The sequence below is a fragment of the Homo sapiens genome, chromosome 1 (assembly GCF_000001405.40).
Source record: "Homo sapiens chromosome 1, GRCh38.p14 Primary Assembly".
In the NCBI taxonomy this organism is placed as follows: domain Eukaryota; kingdom Metazoa; phylum Chordata; class Mammalia; order Primates; family Hominidae; genus Homo; species Homo sapiens.
In genome coordinates this window covers 62,117,848-62,141,129 of record NC_000001.11, presented here as the reverse complement: position 1 = coordinate 62,141,129, position 23,282 = coordinate 62,117,848, and the positions used below count along the sequence as shown (strand labels likewise).

The window sequence follows — 23,282 nt, the reverse complement described above, 5'->3', positions numbered from 1 at the left end:
GGACAGTGGGACAAGAAGATGCAAGTAGAGCAGACCATCATGATGGCATGTGCTTGGCACCAGGGGGTACTTCACTCTCCGGGGTACTTCACTCTCCAGGGTACTGCAGGGAGACAGCCTGAGGGGTGGGAGGCATAACACACCCACCACCTCACCCCCACTTCCTAGAAACCTTCCTAGCTTTCTAGGAAGAAAGCTGTCTAGCTTTTATTTTATTTTTAGAGATGAGGTCTTGCTCTCTCACCCAGGGTGGAGTGCAGTGGTGCGATCATAGCTCACTGCAGCCTTGAACTCCTGGACTCAAGTGATCCTCCCACTTCAGCCTTCTCAGTAGCTGGGAATACAGGCGTGAACCACCGAGACCAGCTCATTGCCTTTTAGAAAGAGATTATCCTTTCAAGAGTCCATGAAATCCACCATACAAATGGTAAAACCAAAGTCATAGTTTTATTTGGGTAAAAATCAATTTTTTTTTTTGAGGTGGTGTCTCGCTCTGTTGCCCAGGCTGGAGTGCAGTGACATGACCTCGGCTCACTGCAACCTCTGCCTCCCAGGTTCAAGTGATTCTAGTGCCTCAGCCTCCCCAGTAGCTAGGATTATAGGCACCTGCCACCACACACAGCTAATTTTTGTATTTTTAGTAGAGACGGGGTTTCACCATGTTGGCCAGGCCGGTCTCAAACTCCTGACCTCAAGTAATCCGCCTGCCTCGGCCTCCCAAAGTGCTGGGATTACTGGCGTGAGCCACCACGCTCGGCCAAAAATCAATTTTTAAAAAGTCTAGCTGCAAAGTATAAAAACACTTCTGTAGCATCGTCTTATGGAAAAACTCACATCCCTCTAAAACCTGAAGTCATTTTGTTCACTCCTCCACCCCGAAATGAAAAAAACTGATAATACTGAATCTTAGAGACCCACCCAGGACACTTGGGGTTGTCCACGCTTCTGCCTATTTTGTAGAAGTGGAATCCAAGGGGCTGAATGAGAAACGTGATGGACTTTCACTGACAGCTTGGTCTTTTGCAGGAAGACAAGGAGAGCACAAATATGTCACCTTAAGAATGACTTTAGGCTGGGCAAGGTGGCTCATGCCTGTAATCCTAACACTTTGGGAGGCCCAGGCAGGCAGATCACATGAGCCCAGGAGTTCGAGACCACCCTGAGCAACATGGTGAGACCCTGACTCTACAAAAAATACAAAAATTAGCTGGGCGTGGTGGTTCATGACTGTAGCCCCAGCTATTTGGGAGGCTGAGGTGGGATGATCACCCGAGCCCGGGAGGTTGAGGCTACAGCACGCCATGATCGTGACACTGGATTCCAGCCTGGGCAACAGAGTGAGACCCTGTCTCAAAAAAAAAGAAAAAAAAAAAAGAATGACTTTTAGACTTTACAGCTCTAAGAAATCCCCATCAAGCCCTTCTGTCTTAAGAGGTGATTGGCAAGTAACTTGATAGGCAGCAGAGTTAAACCTTCCTGGGGCTTTGACTTGTGAAAGGGGATAATCTGATCTCCAAAGGGTGTGTTCAGCTTTGAGTTCATGTAAGTTCAACTCTGAGATATGGTCTGTGAGCTGGCTCAGCCCCGCCACTGAAGAGCTCTTCCACCATCACCATCAGGGACTGACTGAACAACACAGAGGTAAGGCTGGGAGATGTTTGTGTGCTTTGGGGAAGGCAAAGAGTCTAATGAGAAGTTTGCTCTTTTTTTTTTTTTTTTTTTTTTTTTTTGAGATGGAGTCTCGCTGTGTCGCCCAGGCTGGAGTGCCGTGGCGCAATCTCGGCTCACTGCAATCTCTGCCTCCCGGATTCAGGCAATTCTCTGCCTCAGCCACCCAAGTAGCTGGGACTACAGGCGCCCGCCACCACGCCCGGCTATTTTTTGAATTTTTGGTAGAGACGGGGTTTCACCATCTTGGCCAGGCTGGTCTTAAACTCCCAACCTCACGTGATCCGCCTGCCTCGGCCTCTCAAAGTGCTGGGATTACAGGTGTGAGCCACCGTGCCCGGCCAGTTTGCTCTTTTTTAAAAGTAAATCTTACACTCCTGGCTGTAAACTTCTGCGAAAGGTTCTGAGAATAGAGATGGGGGCAGAGGAAACCCAGTGGGAGCAAAGGTTCCCTGCCCTCCAGAGAGCTTGCAGCCAATGTCATCTAGTGTGGGAGGCAGATATGAATACATGCAGGTCAGAGTGGATAGAGGAGAGGGGAAGGAAAGGGATTCCTTCTGGGGAAGGCACAGGGACTCTGAGGTCCTTACCCGGACAATAGGCATTAAAGTATCTGTAACTTGAATGTGCTTCAGAGCTGTAGTGTTTGGAGTCCTTTCACCTGGGTGGGGCCAGCTCCAATCCTAAGATCTGCAGCTGTGGTCTTGCATTTTGCATTACTCAGATCAGCAAACTTTTCTCTCATGTCCCGCTAGACCCAGAGGCCTGGAAATGTGTCTGGTGCCCCGGCCCTCCAACATGGGGGAGGTGGGTTAAATTTATGCTTGCAGGTCCTTTAAACTTATGCTCCTTCTTGGCTGGGTGCAGTGGCTCACACCTGTAATCCCAGCACTTTGGGAGGCTGAGGCGGGTGGATCACCTGAGGTCAGGAGTTTGTGACGAGCCTGGCCAACATGGTGAAACCCCTTCCTACTAAAAATACAAAAATTAGCTGGGCATGGTGGCACACACCTGTAATCCCAGTTACTAGGGAGGCTGAGGCAGGAGAATCACTTGAACCCAGGAGGCGGAGGTTGCAGTGAATTGAGATTGTGCCACTGCATTCCAACCTGGGTGACAGAGTGAGACTCTGTCTCAAACAAACAAACAGAAAACTTAGGCTCCTTCTTGTTAGGCACAGTGCTGCTGTAGACATCTTGAGTGGTTGTTTAAGGGCAGGTAACTAGATCTGGAATTGCTGGTGATGGGTATTGCATCACCATTAAAGTTACTAGAACTTCCTAAGTCGCCAAATGGTTGTGTTTACTTAAAGTCTCACTAGGCATTTAATGAACTACTTGGTTTCCCCTCATCCTCCCCAACTCTTATGATCAAATATTTAGTAATTGCCGACCTGAGGTGGAGGAGACCCCTGGTCTGAAGGAAGAGAAGGAACTCTCCCAACCCAAAGAGGGGGAGGCCACAGACCTGAAGAAAGAGGTGGAGAAAATCTCCTCATCCGAGGAAGAGGAGACTGTGAACCTGAAGGAAGAGGTGGAGAAAATCCCCCCACCTGAGGAGGAGACTATGGACCTGAAGGAAGAGAAGGAGGAGATCCCCCCACCTGAGGTGAGGGAGGCCACTGGCCTGAAGAAAAAGCAGGAAGAAATCCTCCCACCAGAGGACGGGGAGGCTGCAGCCTTGTCCTCTGCGCCTACGGAACAGTTAGAGACGTTTGCATCTGTGGAAGAACAGACAAGCCTGCTTCCCTCTCAATCTGTGTTCCCCCCACAAACTGCTATCCCCCCTCATTCTGTGTTCCCCCCTCCAGAGGTATTTCCCCCTCAGGCCTCTGTCCCCCCTCACTCTGTGTCCCCCCCTCCGGAGGCATTTCCCCCTCAGGCCTCTGTCCCCCCTCACTCTGTGTTCCCCCCTCCAGAGGCATTTCCCCCTCAGACTGCTGTGCCCCCTCACTCTGTGTTCCCCCCTCCAGAGGCATTTCCCCCTCAGGCTGCTGTGCCCCCTCACTCTGTGTTCCCCCCTCCAGAGGCATTTACCCCTCAGGCTGCTGTTCCCCCTCATTCTATGTTCCCCCCTCCGACGAAACTCACTTATTCCATGTTTCCTTCTGCCAATGGGTTTCCCCCTCACTGTTTCTCCAACAGGGTTCTCCCTCTGATGTGAATTTCCTTAATTTGTGCCACCTTCCCCACTGTTTTCCTTTAAGAAGATATTTATTTTCATGTACTCTCTTGTGCTTTGCCTCCATGTTGCATTTAATAACTTAGGGTAAAAGGAACATTAAACTTAATTAGAACTATATGTTCTACAGTGAAATATTGTGTATTTATTAAGCTTTCGAAATGAGTAATAAAGTAGAGGTCTTTACTGCATGGACCTAGGTTGAGTATCTTTCTTTAAAAACAGGTTTAGGTATTATGTTTTGGAGAATTGAGAAGTCAAAATAATTTCCAGATAAGAAAGATATTACAATGCATAAAAGCTTGAGCTCCTTGCTTAGAACTCTCCTAAAGGTTCCTGCGAAAGAAGATGATTAGCCCTTAGACTTATTAGGACCCAAGCCTTTCAGTACCAAATCTGAAATTTAGCACTGGCTGGGTGTGGCGGCTCATGCCTGTAATCCCAGCACTTTGGGAGGCTGAGGTTGGAGGATTGCTTGAGCCTGGCAGATCAAGGCTGCTGTGAGCCATGATTGTGCCACTGCACTCCAGCCTGGGGGACAGAGTGAGACCCTGTCTCAAAAAAACAACACACCACACACACACACAGACACACACACACACACACACACACACAGACACACACACACACACGCAAAACATAAAAATCCTCAGCACTTACATGCAGCTGGACCCTCAAACTATGGGTGCACACATGTTGAAAACAAACAGGAAGGCTGTAAAGTTAAGGTGATCCCTGAGAAAGCTGGCATCTTAAGATGGGGACACATTACAGAAAAACACACACACACACACACACACACAAGAAAAGCCCATGCCTGGCCTTTGGTGTAACTTACTGAAATAGAAAGCACAGCTGCTTAAAGTTTTTGTCCAGAATCTAGTGACCCTGATTTTAGTGACACCAGAATATATTGATTTTTATGTGTCTGTTAAAAATTTAATGATCGGGCTGGGCGTGGCGGCTCACACCTGTAATCCCAGCACTTTGGGAGGCCGAGATGGGCGGATCACTTGAGGTCAGGAGTTCAAAACCAGCCTGACCAACATGGAGAAACCCCATCTCTACAAAAAACACAAAATTAGCCGGGCGTGGCGGTGTGAGCCTGTAATCCCAGCTCAGCTACTCAGGAGGCTGAGGCAGGAGAATTGCTTAAACCCAGGAGGCAGAGGTTGCAGTGAGCTGAGATTGCACCATTGCATTCCAGTCTGGGTAACAAGAGCGAAACTCTGTCTCAAAAAAAAAAAAAAAAAAAAAAAAAAAAATCTAATGGTCTGAAGAAGTGTGAAGCACTTGGAGTAAAATTCGAAAAGGGCAAACTGACTTCCAGCCACATTGCCACCTAGTGGCACACACCTCAAATGCCACCTGGAAAACCACTCCACTTCCAGGATTTTATAAAGGAATTTTAGTATCCTCTAACTTCAAGCCTATGTTAGTACAATGAAAGTAATAAGATACCACTTAGTATTTATCATTTGCAACATCCTGTATTTATTAGACACTTTACATCACACTTCATCTAATCCTCAGAGCAACCTTTTTAAGAAAGGAGCTCCACAGTCCCTGTTTTAGAGGAATAGAAGGTGAGACTTTAGTAAAAGGATTCAAACTCACGACTTTCTGACACTACAGCCTACCTCTCCTACCTAACTTGGGCTAGGTGTTCATTTCAACTTTCAAACCTTGGGTCTTTGTCCTTTTCCTGCAGTTTATCACTGTCTTCATGGCATTAATTTGGCTTTTTTTTTTTTTTTTTTTTTTTGAGACGGAGTCTCGCTCTGTCACCCAGGATGGAGTGCAGTGGCGCGATCTCATCTCATTGCAACCTCTGCCTCCCGAGTTCAAGCAATTCTCCTGCCTCAGCCTCCTGAGTAGCTGGGATTACAGGTATGCATTACCATGCCTGGCTTATTTTTGTATTTTTAGTAGAGGGGGTTTCACCACGTTGGCCAGGCTGGTCTTGAACTCCTGACCTGAAGCGATCCCCCCCACCTCGGCCTCCCAAAGTGCTGGGATTACAGGCGTGAGCCACCACACCTGGCCTAAGCATTAGTTGGCTTTTTATTTGCAAACCCTGGAGACTACTTTTCTTACCCCTGGCTGCATATTAGAATCACCTGAGAAATTTTAAAATCATCTGATGTCCATGCCATATCCCAGAAAAATTAAATCTGAACCTCTGGGGTGGGGCCCAGGAACAGGTATTAAAATCAGTGATTTTATTATGCAACTAAGGTAAAGACCTAATAGCAGATCATTCCTTTAGTGATACTCACATAGGCCATGACGCGCCTGCTCTGCACCCTCAATGACACACCTTTTCCATTTCCAACCCTGGGTAAGCCATCCGTCTTCCTCCCCTCCTGGAATTTTTCTGGACTACATTGGTAACTGTGCTGATTTGTTCCCCTATTAGTTCATGTCCTTCAGCTTGATTGGAATGGCTCAGCAACTCCATGTGGGCAGCACTGAGGAGGTATCTGCTCTGGGCGAGGCCTGCGCCCGAGGCACAGACACAGATTTCTCCAGCTTTGGAGAACCATGGTCTGGAAGGACATCAACACCCAGGCACTCCCTATTCTTCGATGGAGAGTTTCTAAACAAAGGATTTTCCAATATTTATAAAGAAAAGAGGCCGGGCGTGGTGGCTCACACCAGTAATCCCAGCACTTTGGGAGGCTGAGGCGGGCGGATCACCTAAGGTCAGGAGTTTGAGACCAGGCTGACCAACATGGTGAAACCCCGTCTCTACTAAAAATACAAAATTAGCTGGGCGTGGTGGCACATGCCTGTAATCCCAGCTACTCGGGAGGCTGAGGCAGGAGAATCGCTTGAACCTGGGAGATGGAAGTTGCAGCGAGCCAGGATCACGCCATTGCACTCCAGCCTGGGCAACAAGAGCAAAACTCAGTCTCAAAAAGTAAAAAGAAAAAAAAAAAAAAAAAAAGAGAGGGCTGGGTGCGATGGCTCACACCTGTAATCCCAGCACTTTGGGAGGCTGAGGTGGGACAGTCTCTTGAGTGCAGGCCAATAATGAGACCTTGTCTCTCTCTTAAAAAAAAAAAAAAAAAAAGACGAGAGTACGGTGAGAAGGGTGTTTCAGATGAAGAGAATAACGTGGGGAGACCTTTTTCATCCCTAAATAATGCTCTACTCCACTGGGTCTGAGGCATGGGATCTGAATTAGCAGCATCACCAATACCTAGGAGCTTGTTAGAAGAAATGCAAAATTGGCTGGGCACGGTGGCTCACACCTGTAATCTCAGCACTGTGGGAGGCCAAGGCAGGCGGATCACCTGAGGTCAGGAGTTTGAGACCAGCCTGGCCAACATGGTGAAACCCTGTCTCTACTAAAATACAAAAATTAGCCGGGCATGGTGGTGGGTGCCTGTGGTCCCAGCTACTGGGGAGGCTGATGCAGGAGAATTGCTTGAACCCAGGAGGTGGAGGCTCAGTGGAGCCGAGATTGTGCCACTGCACTCCAGCCTGGGCTTCAGAGCGCAACTCTGTCTCAAAAAAAAAAAAAAAAAAAGCAAATTCTTGAATCCCACTCCACTCCTGCAAAATCAGAAAGGCTGGGGGAGCCCTCCAGGTGTTTCCAGAGCGTGCTAAAGTTTGAGAAGCACCATTCTACTCAAATCTGTTTAGCTGCTTTTCAAACAGACCTATATTCTTGGTTCTTTTCTATTCTTTTTTCTCGAGACGGTGTCTCACTCTCGACTAGGCTGGACAGCAGTGGTGCAATCTCGGCTACTGCAACCTCTACTCTCCGGGTTCAAGCTGTTCTCCTGCCTCAGCCTCCCAAGTAGCTGGGACTACAGGCATGTGCCAACACACCCGGCTAATTTTTGTATTTTCAGTAGAGATGGGATTTCACCATGTTGGCCAGGCTGGTCTCAAACTCCTGACCTCAGGTGATCCACCTGCCTTGGCCTCCCAAAATGCTGGGATTACAGGTATGAGCCACCACGCCTGGCCATATTCTATTTTTTCTAAATATTTCTTTTTTGTGTGTACATAATAAAAAATGAAATAGTACAGTACATGATAAAAAAAATTCAACACTTGCCCTCCCTAGAAGCACATTGAACTTTTCTCTTTTTAATTCTAAAGAATAAGCTAAATAATATTCTTATATGCCTATTTTGAAATGTACTATCTTGGTGTCCACTGACTCCCTACTCTAAGAGATGAAAATTTAGCTCGCCAAACTCTTCCACTTAACTGTTACATCATTTCTAAGTTCTACTTGTTTCCTGTGTTTTAAAAATCTACTCAATCCTCTGTAGTTCTAATACTTTCCAACAACTTTTTACCTCAATTAAAAAAAAATCACACCTATTCACTTACTTATGTAATTTTTTTTTTTTAATTTTGAGACAGGGTCTCACTGTCATCCAGGCCGGAGTGCAGTGGCACGATCTTGGCTCACTGCAACCTCTGCCCCCCGGGCTCAAGCAATCCTCCCACCCCAGCCTCGCCAGTAGCTGGGACTACAAGTGCATGCCACTATGCACGACTAATTTTTGTATTTTTTTGTAGAGACGGGGTCTCACCATGTTGCCCAAGCTGGTCTCAAACTTCTGGGCTCAAGCGATCTGCCAGCCTCGACCTCCCAAATTGCTGGGATTATAGGTGTGAACCACTGCACCCGGCCCATTTATATAATTTAAAAAGTCAAAATGATTCTATAGTATTTAATGAAAGAGTCCTTGCTCCTTTACCCCCATTACAGATTCTTACTCCCTAAAAGCAACTACTTTCAGCTGTTTCTCCTAGTATTTGCTTCCATATTCACGTTGCCCAGGCCAGAATGCAGTGGCGAGATCTTGGCTCACTACAACCTCTGCCCCTGGGGTTCAAGCGATTCTCCCGCCTCAGCCTCCTGAGCAGCCAGGATTACAGAGGTGCACCGCCAATCCGGCTACTTTTTTGTATTTTTAGTAGAGACAAGGTTTCTCTATGTTGGCCAGGCTGTGCTTCCATATTCTTAAATAACAGTTTTACTTCTATTTCTTGATTTTAAAATTTTTGATATCTAATCACTTCTTATTGTGGAAGATAAAGATTTAACTCACATTTTCCTTCTACCAAAACACCACAAATCCCCATGCTACTAATAATTCATTCAGCTGGGCGTGGTGGCTCATGCCTGTACTCCCAGAACTTTGGGAGGCCAAGGCGGGCAGATCACTTGAGGTCAGGAGTTTGAGACCAGCCTGGCCAACATGGTGAAATCCCATCTCTACTGAAAATATAAAATTAGCCAGGTATGGTGGTGCATGCTTGTAGTCCCAGCTACTTGGGAGGCTGAGGCAGGAGACTTGCTTGAACCCGGGAGGGGGAGGTTGCAGTGCACTCCAGCCTAGACAACAGAGCGAGACTCCATCTCAAAAAAAAAAAAATAATAATTCATTCATCCTAATATTTGGTTATATTGGTTTTTATTATTATGACATTATAGTTAAATAATGTTATTATTTACTTATTTAGAGCTGGGATCTCACTCTGTCACCCAAGCTGAGTGCAGTGCTATAATCATAGCTCACTGCAGCCTCAAACTCTTGGGCTCAAGTGATCTTCCTGCCTCATCCTCCGAGCAGCTAGTTTCTATGTGCCTTTTTTTTTTGAGACGGAGTCTGACTCTTGTAGCCCATGCTGGGGTGCAATGGGGTGATCTTGGCTCATTGCAACCTCCGCCTCCTGAGTTCAAGCAATTCTCCTGCCTTAGCCTCCTGAGTAGCTGGGATTACAGGCATGCGCTACCACACCTGGCTAATTGTGTCTTCTTATTTATTTGTGAGGAAGACAGAGCTGAACAAATTATATCCATGTGTGAAAATATCAATAATACTAGATTTTGCTAAGGGAGAGAGACTTTTTTCTGGTCAGTTACCATTTGAAGTAGGATCCTCCTAAGGTCTTTGTAATTCAAGGTCCTGGGCTCAGCACTGAAGAGCTGCACTGTACTGCCTCTAGGGGTCAGCATAACGTGAAGGATGAGCAAGCACAGCCACCCATTTCAGAAAGCAAAGGATTTGTAGGGTGGAGGAAGCAATGCAGTTAACTGTGTAGGTTTCCACTGAAAGTGAGGACCAGGAGTTGAGGGGAAGCAGATTCTATGCCCAGTCCGCACAGTGTTTTGGTTTGTGTTCAATAGAAAATCAGGGACCCAAATAATTTAATAATATTTGGCCTATCACATAAACTCCCTTGAAATTAATGACAGGATTTTCTTTTCTTTCTTTTAAAATTTTAACTTAAAGACTAGTGTGATAGTAAACTGACAGGATTTTCATTATACCCCTCATACATACTGAAAGCCACTTACTTTTTAAATGTCTGGACACTTTGGACTTACACCACAGAGATGTAAAACACCACAAATTGCTTCTCCCAAATGTAATGGTTTTTCTTTTTTTCTTTTGAGACGGAGTCTTGCTCTGTCGCCCAGGATGGAGTGCAGTGGTGCCATCTCGTCTCACTGCAAGCTCTGCCTCCCAGGTTCACGCCATTCTCCTGCCTCAGCCTCCCCAGTAGCTGGGACTATAGGCGCCCGCCACCATGCCCGGCTAATTTTTTGTATTTTTAGTAGAGATGGGGTTTCACCATGTTAGCCAGGATGGTCTCAATCTCTTGACCTCGTGATCCGCCCGCCTCAGCCTCCCAAAGTGCTGGGATTACAGGTGTGAGCCACCGTGCCCAGCAGTTTTTCTTTTTTTCTAATTTTTATTTTTTATTATTAAAATTAAATTTTTATTTTTATTTTTTTTGTAGAGATGGGGTATCATACCATGTTGCCCAGGCTGGTCTCAAAACTCCTGGGCTCAAGCAATTCTCCTGCCTTGGCCTCCCAGAGTGTTGGGATTATAGGCGTGAGCCACTATGCCCAGCTATGTAATGGTTTTTCAATTTGAACTTCCTATATGATTTTTATTTATTTTGAGCCAGGGTCTCACTCTGCTGCCCAGGCAGGAATGCAGTGGCACAATACTGGCTCACTGTAGCCTCCAACTCTTGGGCTCAAGCCATCCTCCTGCTTCAGTCTCTTGAGTAGCTAAGACTACAGGCACACACCACCATGCCGGGCTAACTTTTTAACTTTTTTGTAGAGACGGGATCTTGCTATGGCCTAGGCTGGTCTTGTACTGCTGGCCTCAAGTGATCCTCCTGCTTCAGCCTCCCAAAGTGCTGGGACTATAGGTGTGAGCCACTGCACTCAGCCCAAACTTCTTATTTTAAGGCTAGAATGATGAGTGGCTGGCTGGCCCTCTCTCTAAGGTAGTAAGTGGTGGGCTTTATTCTTTATACCTATAAACTAATTTATTTTATTTTATTTTTGAGACAGTCTCACTCTGTCACCCAGGCTGGAGTACAGTGGAGCAATCTTGGCTCACTGCAACCTCCTTCTCCCAGGTCCAAGTGATTCTCCTGCCTCATCCTCCTGTAGCTGAGATTACAGGCACCCACCACCATGCCTGGCTAATTTTTGTACTTTTAGCAGAGACGGGGTTTCACCATGTTGTCCAGGCTGGTCTCGAACTCCTGACCTCAGGTGATCCGCCCACCTCAGCCTCCCAAAGTGCTAGGATTACAGGCGTGGGCCACCGCGCCTAGCCACCTATAAACCACTTTATATTACCTCTGCAGACCTATGGTAAGCATACATTTCTGGGGAAACTCATTAATGAAACTCACTGCCAGTATGCTGCCTCTCAGTCACTGCATGGTGTCAATCTCAGAGACATCTGAAGGGCTAAAATATAAGCAGGGGTAATTAACAGCACACTTTGCTTTTACATCCTGGTATATTTCCTTGTGCCTCTGAACAATACAGCTGGGGACCACAGCTGATAAACAATTGTCTGCCTTGGTTGATGACTGCTACGCGTGACAATTTAACAGTGTTGGCAATCTATGCTAAAGGAAAAAGACCATTGTATTTTTCCTCTTCCTTTAAGGGGAAAAGAAGAAACAGCACTTGGGCAGTTCAGTAACAGTCTTTGGGCATAAGAAAAGAAATCATTTCTTATTCCTTACAAATTCTGATTTACAAAAGAACACTGGAAACTAAAAGCTGTGTTGATTTATCATGTGAAGCAGAGAGTAATTTTTCTCCCCTTGTTATGCTTTCATATAATCATGCTCACTACCTGTATGGGTGGCATTAAAGAATTTCTGAATAAAAATAATAATTTCTTGCTTTCAACCTTCGTAATTCACATCAGCAAGCACCCTGCTGGGTGGCGATGTCTACTGCCAGTGACGCTCAATCTTTTTTGCATGCCACTTATCTGCCTTGCACAGCTGCGTGCTCCGTTGATCGCAATACCTGCAGGATAATGCGCCCGTAGGCGTTCTTCAGCAGATTAACCACATCCGCGTGAGACAGCCCATCCAAAGGTTGCCCGTTAATGCTGACAATCCGATCTCCAACCTGGAAGTACAAAAATGACAGAAAATCACTATCATTAAGAAAAATTAAATTTGAGAAGAATGCTTAAAATTCTTTGCGAGTCCTATTTCCCATTTGTGGCTATTGTGAGGATTCTGCGTTACTACCGTGCATGCATGTTCAAGAAGCATGAGGAATTTTTTTGGCTTTCCCCAAATACAGACAAATCAGAGCAACAAGAAGGGGGTCACATTTGATTATTAAAAGGCACAGTAGGCCATTTTTGTATTTTGGTAATGGTGGTGTTTCATACAACCATTTGCCAGTAAAAGCGAAGTGTACACATCAACCGTTCAATAAAGTTCTAATGAGGAAGCCAAATATTTTCTGCTATATTTTTCTACTGAAGTTAAGATTAAGGGGCAACAAGGGGGAGAAATCATAAAAATGGTGATTCTTTTGATTGAGGGAAGACTCTAAGGTCAAATGTCTCTCAGTTGAGAGCTGATTTTGGGTGGAATGAGGTGCTTAAAAGGGTAAAGGAGGGTTTGCAAAGGGGCTGCAATTTCTTCTTTTATGGAGAAGCTTTGATACAAATAATAATATTTTTATGTGCCTGGGGACCTAATGAATTTCTAAAGGTATCAAGTTTATCTAATGCATCTTGCCCTCAGCCTGGGTCTCTGATGGCTACTGGAATTCCAACTTTAAACAAGGTGCCCAGGGCTGCAACTTCCTCTCCCACCCCAACACATATTGTTAGTCTTTCAACCAGTTCTCTCGTTTACTTTAAGCTTCTGTGTCCGTGCGGCCACTCCGCTAGCCTGAATCATGGCAATAAATACGGGGATATCTCCTAAGGGACTTCCTCTTCCTCCAGCAATACTGATTCCAAGGGCATCACTGAGCTCCTAAAAAAGGAAGAAAACATAATGCTTTTATATTTAATAAAGAGCCACAAACTGACTATCCCTAGATAGATAGCTGTTGGAACAAAATCCCTCCATGAGGTAGGAGGCCAGGATAACATAGGAGTTAAATGTGGAACCTTTGGAGTAGACAGCTCTAGCTCTTTTTTTTTCAGTTTCGCTCTTGTTATCCAGGCTGGAGTGCAATGGCACGATCTCAGGTCACTGCAACTTCCGCCTCCCAGGTTCAAGCGATTTTCCTGCCTCAGCCTCCTGAGTAGCTAGGATTACAAGTGCGCGCCACCACACTTGGCTAATTTTTTGTATTTTTAGTAGAGACAGGGCTTCACCATGTTGGCCAGGCAGGTCTCCAACTCCTGACCTCAGGTGATCCACCCGCCTTGGCCTCTCAGAGTGCTGGGATTACAGACGTGAACTACCCTACCCAGCCCCAGCTCTAGCTCTTAATTAGCTGTGGGGTCTTGGGGGAAGTTACTTAACCTTGTGAAAGTTGTCAGAATCAAAATGGAGTCATTTGTGTCAAAAAAAAAAAAAAATTCCTTACCAATAGAGCCCGGAAAGGCTATGAAGAAAGAGTTCTCAGGCTTGTATGCCTGATAACAAAAATTATCACAAAAGACTGCAAAAACCACAACCCTGCAGGAAGGACATCACAACCTTTCATAAAAAAATACTTCTACAAGTGCATCTGTCCAGCAGATGCCTGTCCAGCCTTGGGCTGTGTGTCACCCCTGTTATTAATCTTTGTAGCCAAGGATAATTATCTCAAAATAATTATATATTTCTCATTTTGTCCTCTAAAACCTTTTATTTTCCTTACCTCCCTGAATATGCACATAGTCTACTATGGCCCGCATATTCCCATTCCTGAATAAACTGGCCCGCATATTCCCATTCCTGAATAAACATCATTTTCCTTTAGAGAGCCTCTCTGTTTGTTATTTAGGCTGACTACCTCTTAAAGCCTCCATCTCTATGTATAAAATGAGAAGAATACTACATACCTGACAGTGTTGGTCTGAGCATTAAATGAGATAGTATGGCACTGTCATGGCCTACAGAAAAGGCTCAATAAAAGGCAATAGCAGGAGTAAATTAAACACACACACACACACACAACACCCTATGCAGCTCCTTAGTTTAGTGGCCAATTCCGATGCAGACTTGGCAAGTATGTTCTCATATGGTGTTTATGATTAAACTGCCACACATACTATGCTCTTCTGGGTGTGAACAAACACATTTGGCTTTAAAAGACTGCGTTAAAACAAAGGATCTGAGAGGACACCCACTGTAGTGACAACAGTTTGAAGACAGACATAAAATGTGGCTGAAAATGTTCCCCAAGACGGACTCTGGTGAAGAGACTTGGCTCTAGTCCAGTTTTTTCCCCACATTAGTATCATAGGGTTAATATTTTTAAAATCACTAAAAGAACAAATGACAAGTTCCAGTTCTGGCATGGCAGCACAGGCACGTGACAGCGTATCTCTCCTGCTGGTTACAATCAAGATGTCTAGTCAAAATGTAAAAAACAACTACCTGTGGCCTCTGAAACAAAAAGAAACCAAATAAAGTATGGTGGAGAGTCAAAACTTGGAGAAATGGCAGCAGCAGGGGAAGTTCCCAGTTTTATTTTTTTTCCTGGCAGCTGTACCCTGAAGGTGATTCCCAGTCAAGGAGCTGGAAAGGTACGGTGAATGCTAACATTCAGATAGAAATTCCATCCTTCTGGGCAGAAGAATCAAGAAAGAGGGAAAGAGAAGAAAAGCAGAGAAGAGGAAGCTGAAGAAAACGAATCCTCAATTCTGTTTGTGAACCCACAGAACTCTCAGGCTGCTTATGTGTGAGACAGACCCAAACCAGCATAGCAGAAGTTTAGAGGCTGGGTGTGGTGGCTCACTCCTGTAATCCCAGCATTTTGGGAGGATGAGGTGGGTGGAACACTCGAGGTCAGGAGTTTGAGACCAGCCAGGCCAGCATGGCGAAACCCTGTCTCTACTGAAAATACAAAAAATTAGCTGGATGTGGTGGCACGCACCTGTAATCCCAATTACCTGGGAGGCTGAGGGAGGAGAATGACTTGAACCTGGGAGGTGGAGGTTTCAGTGAGCCGAGATTGCACCACTGCACTCCAGCCTGGGTAACAGAGTGAGACTCTGTCTCAGGAAAAAAAAAGAAAGAAATTTATGCTTGGATCACGTGTGGTAGAATAGGGTAGGTAGGAGCAGGCTTTATTACAAAAGCCTGTAAAAACAAGTGGCTGAAATGACTAAGGAAATATAAAAGAATATTATTTTTGAAATCTTAGAGGAGAAATTTATGCAATAATGTTTTGGCTTTGTTTAAATCCATCATGATGTTTCCTTAATTTATCTATAATTATATATACTGTTGGTACATTTAACTTCCCCATCATAGGAACATTTGAGTTGCTACTCTGGTGGAAAAATACCGGGAACAAATAAGGCAGATTTAGTCAAAGCTGTAGCTAATAACAACAGAAGCCACTTCCTGGGCATTCCTGATGCACTAGGTGCTATGCTAAAGACATTACATTCATGACCTCATGTAATCCACACAATAATATTTACCTTTGAGGTGAGTTAGTGTTATCACCCCCATTCTACAGATGAGAAAATTGAGGTTGAGTTGCTAACTATTATAGAGCTAATGGCGTTTTTTTTTTGTTTTTTTTTGTTTTTTTTTTTTTTTTTGAGACAGGGTTTTACTCTGTCACCCAGGCTGGAGTGCAGTGGCATGATCACGGCTCACTGCAGCCTCAACCTCCTGAGCTCAAGCGATCTTCCCACTTCAGCCTCCCAAATAGCTGGGAGCTGGAACCACAGGCATGCACCACCACGCCTGTCTAATTTTAAAAGAAATTATTTGTAGAGACGGAGTTTCCCCATGTTGCCCAGGCTGGTCTCAAACTCCTGGGCTCAGTGATCCTCCCACCTCGGCCTCCCACAATGCTGGGATTACAGGTATGAGCCACCGCACCCAGCTGTACAGCTAATGTACAGGCTGAATTGGGTCCCCCTAAGATTCACATGTTGAAGCCCCAAGTACCAGGGCCTCAGAATGTGACTGTATTTGGAGATAGGGCCTTTAAAATGAGGCCAGGGTGTGCCCTAGTCCAATGTGACTGGTGTCCTTATAAGAAAAGATTAGGACATAGGAGAGACACCAGGGATGATGAGTGACACACAAAAAAGGCCACGTGTGGCTACAGCAAGAAAGTGGACATCTGCAAGCCAAGGAGGGGGGCCTCAGGAAAAGTCAAACCTGCAGACACCTTCATCTTGGATCTAGCCTTCAGAACTGTGAGAAAATAAATTCCCACTGTTTAAGCCACCCAGTCTGTGGTGTTTTATAACTGCAGATCTAGCAAACTAATGCAGCTAATAAATGGTAGAATGCCTTCAAACAGAGGTATCATTAAATCTAGAGAAGTAAGTTATGCTGGATATCACTTTACTGCAGTGGATTACCATGATTACAACAGGGTCATTATTTCTTCTTGAACCCCTCATTTAGGTCAAAGTGAGCAAAATAAAAGTCTACTTTTGGCCGGGCCTGGTGGCTCATGCCTGTAATCCTAGCACTTCAGAAGGCTGAGGTGGTCGGATCGATTGAGGGCAGGAGTTCGAGACCAGCCAGGCCAACATGGAGAAACTGTGTCTCTACAAAAAATACAAAAATTAGCCGGGCGTGGTGGTGTGTGCCTGTAGTCTCAGCTACTTGGGAGGCTGAGGCACGAGAATTACTTGAACCCAGGAGGTGGAGGTTGCAGTGAGTTGAGATTGCACCACTGCATTCCAGCCTGGGCAACACGGTGACTCCATCTCAAAAAGAAAAAGAAAAAGAAAAAAAGAGTCTACTTTCATTAGATATCATCACACAGGAGTCTGAAAATCAGGGTTCGACAAATTTATGAATGAAATACATCTTATATAATCTTCTCAAAAGGGAAATTTAGCAACATGTATAAAAGCCTCTAATAACAAGCTTGGCTTTTGACCCCCAAGTTTCATTTCTAGGAATTAATCCTGAGGAAGTTACTCATGATTTGGGCAAAAATATAAAGATGTTTTACTATAAAAGATAGCAAAAATTGAGAAATATGCTAATTGTTCAATAATAGGAAACTGGTTAAGAAACTTATAGCACATTTGGCCGGGCACGGTGCCTCACGCCTGTAATCCCAGCACTTTGGGAGGCCAAGGCAGGTGGATCACGAGGTCAGGAGATCGAGACCATCCTGGCTAACACGGTGAAAACCCGTCTCTACTAAAAATACAAAAAATTAGCTGGGCGTGGTGGCAGGCGCCTGTAGTCCCAGGTACTCGGGATGCTGAGGCAGGAGAATGGCATGAACCCAGGAGGTGGAGCTTGCAGTGAGCCGAGATCGCACCAGTGCACTCTAGCCTGGGTGACAGAGCAAGACTCTGTCTCAAAAAAAAAAAAAAAAAAAAAAAAAAGAAACTTATAGCACATTCATAAGATGGAGTACTATGAAATCGATAAAAATCATACTATATGCTCTCAAAAAATACTTATTTAGTATGTGCCACATGATACCATTTTTGTTTTATAAAACTTTACATGTACAGGTTAAAAGACTAAGATTGAAAAAATAAATAAATAAAAATAAAACTTACACATAGCACAGAATATAGTGGATGAGATTTGCCAAAAAATTCATAGAGGTCATCTCTGTGCTCTACTGTACTTTTCTAAGTCTATTTATTGATGTTATTTAGACCATATTTTTATCTCAGTAACTTGAAAGAGCACACTCACAATCCAATAAACTGTATTGGGGAAAATGTACATTTAGTGCAAATCCAACACAAACCAGAAAAATACATACAGCAAAATGACTGACTTACCCTGTTTATCTCAACAGTCCTTGGTTCCATATCTGTGCCTATAAAGAAGCAACACAATTAACTTTTTAATATTAAAAAATAATATATTTAGCATATAATATTGCCCCATGAAAAATGGTTTCATTTTCTAGGTCTTTCAAGAGAAGACACTAAAGCAAGCAGGTATTGTACCCTTCCTCAGCATCCAAGCTGGTAGCCAAGTCACCAGGGGCCATGTCCTCTTTTTTTTTTTTTTGACACAGAGTCTCGCTTTGTCACCCAGGCTGGAGTGCAGTGGCACCATCTCAGCTCACTGCAACCTCTGCCTCCCAGATTCAAGCAATTCTTCTGCCTCTGCCTCCAAATAGCTGGGATTACAGGTGCCTGCCACCACGCCCGGCTAATTTTTGTATTTTTAGTAGAGACGGGGTTTCACCATGTTGGCCAGGCTGGTCTCAAACTCTCGACCTCAAGTGATCCACCTGCCTCGGCCTCCCAAAGTGTTGGGATTACAGGCGTGAGCCACCGTGCCCGGCCTGCTGTGTCCTCTATTTTAAAGAAGTGCTCTCTGTTTGAGATCAATGTGGCCATAACCATTTGGTCTGACAAAAGTGGATGGGCTATATAGCAGCAGCTGCCTGGAACATGGTGAGTAAATGCTTGGAGGATGACTCATTTTTGTGTGTGTGTGTGGTTTTTTTTTTTTTTTTTTTTTTAGATGGAGTCTCACTCTGTCGCCCAGGCTGGAGTGCAGTGGTCCGATCTTAGCTCACTGCCATCTCTGCCTCTTGGGTTCAAGCGATTCTCCTGCCTCAGCCTCCCAAGTAGCTGGGATTATAGGCATGTGCCACCATGCCCGGCTAATTTTTGTATTTTTAGTACAGGCGAGGTTTCTCCATGTTGGCCAGGCTGCTCTCAAACTCCTGACCTCAGGTGATCCGCCTGCCTTGGCCTCCCAAAGTGCTAAGATTACAGGCATGAGCCACCGGGCCCGGCTGAGTCATTTGTGTTTCATTGTACATTTTTTTCTACCTTAATCAAAGATAACCCTCCATTCAACAAAAGACTTAAAAGGACCCCTTGTCCCACCCTGCCCCCAAGGATATACACACTTTTTTTTTTCTTTTAACTGGCCCAATTTTCCCATAGAAGGTATACACACTTCTGACCTTTCTCCAGTGACCTGTAATTTATTAATTTTCTCTTTGTAAGTAATTTTATTTTACCATGCACTCCAGCTTTCTGCTTTTCTGTTTTTCAGGTGCTTTGTGTTGTGCCACTGAAGGAATTTCTTTTTTTTTTTCTGGAGACGGAGTCTTGCTCTGTCACCCAGGCTGGAGTGCAGTGGCACGATCTTGGCTCACTGCAACCTCCACCACCCCCGCCAGTTTCAAGCAATTCTCCTGCCTCAGCCTCCTGAGTAGCTGGGACTACAGGCGTATGCCACCACGCCCGGCTAATTTTTTTTTGTATTTTAATAGAGACGGGGTTTCACGGGGTTAGCCAGGATGGTCTCGATCTCCTGACCTCAGGTGATCCGCCCGCCACAGCCGTCCCAAAGTGCTGGGATTACAGGTGTGAGCCACCATGCCTGGCCACCACTGAAGGAATCTCTATGGCTTTCCTACCTTCAGAACATGCCTTTCAGAAAGCTCAGCTTATGTGGCCAAGCTCAAAAAATTAAAAAACATTTATATTAAAGAAGACTGGTTTTTAAAAAACACATTTTTTTTTTTTAATTTGGGTAACAGGATAGTTTTGCTCTGGGTGTGTCCGTGTAATACCTGAATTTTTCTGGGAAGGATCTGAAACTCTTTTTGTGCCAACCAGGTTTTGCAGGCCAGTGATGACAGGAGCGAAGGAGGGATGACAGCTGCTGTGTGCACTCTGCTGACTACCCTGAAAGAAAGACCCAGGGGTCACCTGTGTGCAGACACTGACTTGACCCCCTAAATGCATACTTATCCATTAGTGTGCCAATTACTGATGTCACCATAACCATCTAACAGAAAATCGTGAGGAGGCCAGGAAAGAAAACAAAAATCACCCACACTATTCTCTTACTACCTCAACCCAATCCCATTTAGACATTTCCTCCATTGCTTTCTCCATTATGTGTGCTTTTGTATATGGTTTCAATCACCAAGGTGGAGACCATAGAATCATTTCAGCTGTTCTTGCTCCACATAAAATCAAAACCATTTTCCTAGGTTGCCACATAGTGTTTATGTATATATAGTCAGCTAATGGGCACTATGTTTCATTTGGGGTTACAGTCAACTTTATTACCCAAAATGTATTATGTATTTTGCTAAAACAAGTATAATAAGACCTTGATTAGCAGAAACCTGCCAAAATAGAACCCTCAATTGTGGGGAAAAAAGCACCAAATCTGAAGGGAAAAAGACTTGTTTTAGGGATATATAACATTTTTTTCTCAAAGATTTTCCTAGAATCAGTAATAATTTAGTCCAATCTGCTAGATCTCCATTACCTGTCCCTTTATTCATTTAAATGAATATGTGAGGTTAATACTGTGTAGTCTTTTAAGGCTAGTGGCTGTTCAACAAAAACTGTATACATAGTGAAGGGCCTTTCTTATGTAGACGAAAACATTGCAAATAATGAATATTTTTTTCTACCAAATTATTCTGCATCAAAATTTTAAGCTAAGCCTAAGATCACTGTTATCAGTTCATAAATTATAATTTGGTCCATTTTCTTAACTCTATGATGAAAGTTGTTTAATATTTTAATTCCTAAAATATGAAAACCTTCAAATATATAGAAAAGCTGAAAGAATTATACAATAGACATCCATATAAATAGCACCTAGATTTCACAATGAGTATTTTGCTATATTTCCTTTATCACATAGCCATTTATCTATTCATCACTCATCTTTTTTTAAAAAATTCATTTCAAAGTAAGTTGTAGATCTCAGTATACTTCATAGTGGCTATATACATTTAAAGGAGTGTTTTTATACTTTTCCTTAAAGGATATGATTTAAGTAAATGGTACTATAATAGATAACTAATCAGAACTGAGGAAGTACAGTATATTATAACTTTTGCCTTTAAAAAATTTCAGAAAGGTGTGTTTGCCAAGACCTTTATTGCATTGTATTGTAATTTTTGAGGAGTCTCCCTCTGTCACCCAGGCTGTAGTGCAGTGGTGCAATTTCAGCTCACTGCAACCTCCGCCTCCCAGGTTCAAGTGATTCTGTTGCCTCAGCCTCCTGAGTAGCTGGGGTTACAGGAGCCCACCACTATGCCCAGCTAATTTTTGTATTTTTAGTAGAGACAGGGTTTCACCAGGCTCTTTGGCCAGGCTGGTCTTGAATTCCTGCCCTCAAGTGATCTGCCCGCCTCGAACTCCCAGTGCTGGGATTACAGATGTGAGCCACCACGCCCGGCCCCAAGACGTTTATAAAAGTACACTTTGCCTGACTGTGTTCCCTTAGTTGGCTGAGGAAAAGATCTCGCAAGTATTTTTTCCTCTGTGGAGTAAGGAAATTTCTTCCTGGTTTGGGGGAAAGTCATTTTAAAAAAAGACACTTGGTGGCCCCAAAGCTAGAAGTTATTTCTCTCTTAATGAACTCACTTTCTATGAATTAAGTCAAGAGCTTATTCTCCTTAGCGCTCAAAAGAAGGCATTGATCTCCCTATTTTGTAACTGCTCAGAAGGAAATCTGTGTTCCTACAAGATCCTGATTTTTTAAATGGGTCTGGATGTAAAAATGTTTGGCAATGGAATCTTGTTTTTGCCCACCAGGGTCAGTCTTCAACTCATCATGATGGGAAGACATTTCCTTTTCACAGTCGGCTACCAGCCTTCTTCTAATTAGCCAAATAGGGCAAACTCTTCTATCTCACCCATAATTTTAAGCACAAGGTGATGATAAGATATATTTACTGTTTTTAAAAATTGAATTAAACTCCTACCCTCTGAAATTAAAATTCTGTGTAAGAAGATTAGGGCAAAGTATTTGATACTTTGTCCCAGGTTTCCAAAATATGACAACTCACATTCATATACCAGGTAAGTGGAGACGATAGGTTTTTTTTTTTTTTGATATTTAATGATGTAGCTTCTAAATTTGGTAGTTCTGTCTTTGAGTGTGAACTTAAAAATTATGAAGATGCGGCTGGGCGCGGGGGCTCACACCTGTCATCCAGGCACTTTGGGAGGCCGAGGTGGGTGGATCACCTGAGATCAGGAGTTTGAGACCAGCCTGACCAAGATGTTTTGAAACCCCGTGTCTACTAAAAATACAAAAATTAGCCGGATGTGGTGGCGGGCACCTGTAGTCCCAGCTACTCGAGAGGCTGAGGCAGGAGACTCACTTGAACCCGGGAGGCGAAGATTACAGTGAGCTGAGATCGCGCCATTGCACTCCAACCTGGGCAACAGAGTGGGACTCCGTCTCAAAAATAAATAAATAAATAAATAAGAAGATGCTCACATACATCTCTCAAGAGGGACAGAAATCCATTTCTATCCACTACCTTACCTATCGATCAGTCCAAACTTTTCTTAAATCACACAAACACCTGTTACCTCTTTGTGCCTTTGTGTATGCTATTTTCCCTGTCTGAGATGCCTTTTCCTTCTTTTCCCCAAACTCCATTTGGAGTGAGATTCAATGGAACCTCCTCTGTGTAGCTTCATTCTAATCTTCTGTATACAATAAGGCTTTAATGAAATCATTCAACAAAGATGAGTCTTCCATTAAGGAAGAAGCCTGGCTAGACAACTGTTTCGTTTGTTGATATAAGTCTGGTCAATATCATCACTAACTATTAACTCATGGAATCCTACAGCAGCACCATGTCTTAGATATTTGCTGCCCATTATGTAAGCCAGAAATGAAAAAAAAAAAAAGTGTTTCAAACTTAATATGGTGTTTATTGGGTTTGACTGCTTTGAAGATTCCCTAAGACAAGCCAGCTAGTCTGTAATCCTATCTGAACAATGGTATTTTCCTCACTCATTTTTTAACACCAGTGAGGAACAGGAGGCAGCTAATAGCTTTCCAGAAGTAACTGTGTGCTAACTGTAAGATCAGAGCACCTTCTGAACAAAGGCCTTGGAGAGGCTTCAGAAATAAGGCAACCAGGGAGGGGACCAAAAGTCATGCTTTTAACCTCAAAACTAAGGCGGCCTATCCATAACCCAGAGAGGAGACTTAGGGGTCACATATAAGTTTCTATAGTCTCATTATGTACC

The 23,282-nt window shown here is 44.1% G+C and overlaps 1 protein-coding gene across 17 annotated transcripts in view; it reads right to left on the bottom strand.

Moving 5' to 3' along the window:
- The window catches only part of PATJ (PATJ crumbs cell polarity complex component), a 421,436-nt gene that overhangs the window by 22,786 nt on the left and 375,368 nt on the right, over nucleotides 1–23,282 (bottom strand). For all 17 annotated transcript variants that reach the window (XM_011540462.4, XM_011540467.4, XM_011540464.4 and 14 more), the window contains 4 exons: nucleotides 19,835–19,949; nucleotides 18,072–18,109; nucleotides 13,036–13,158; nucleotides 12,185–12,289 (listed from right to left, as the gene is read on the bottom strand). In XM_011540462.4, coding sequence (XP_011538764.1) covers nucleotides 12,185–12,289; nucleotides 13,036–13,158; nucleotides 18,072–18,109; nucleotides 19,835–19,949 — 381 coding nt within the window. The remainder of the gene's footprint in view (nucleotides 1–12,184; nucleotides 12,290–13,035; nucleotides 13,159–18,071; nucleotides 18,110–19,834; nucleotides 19,950–23,282) is intronic.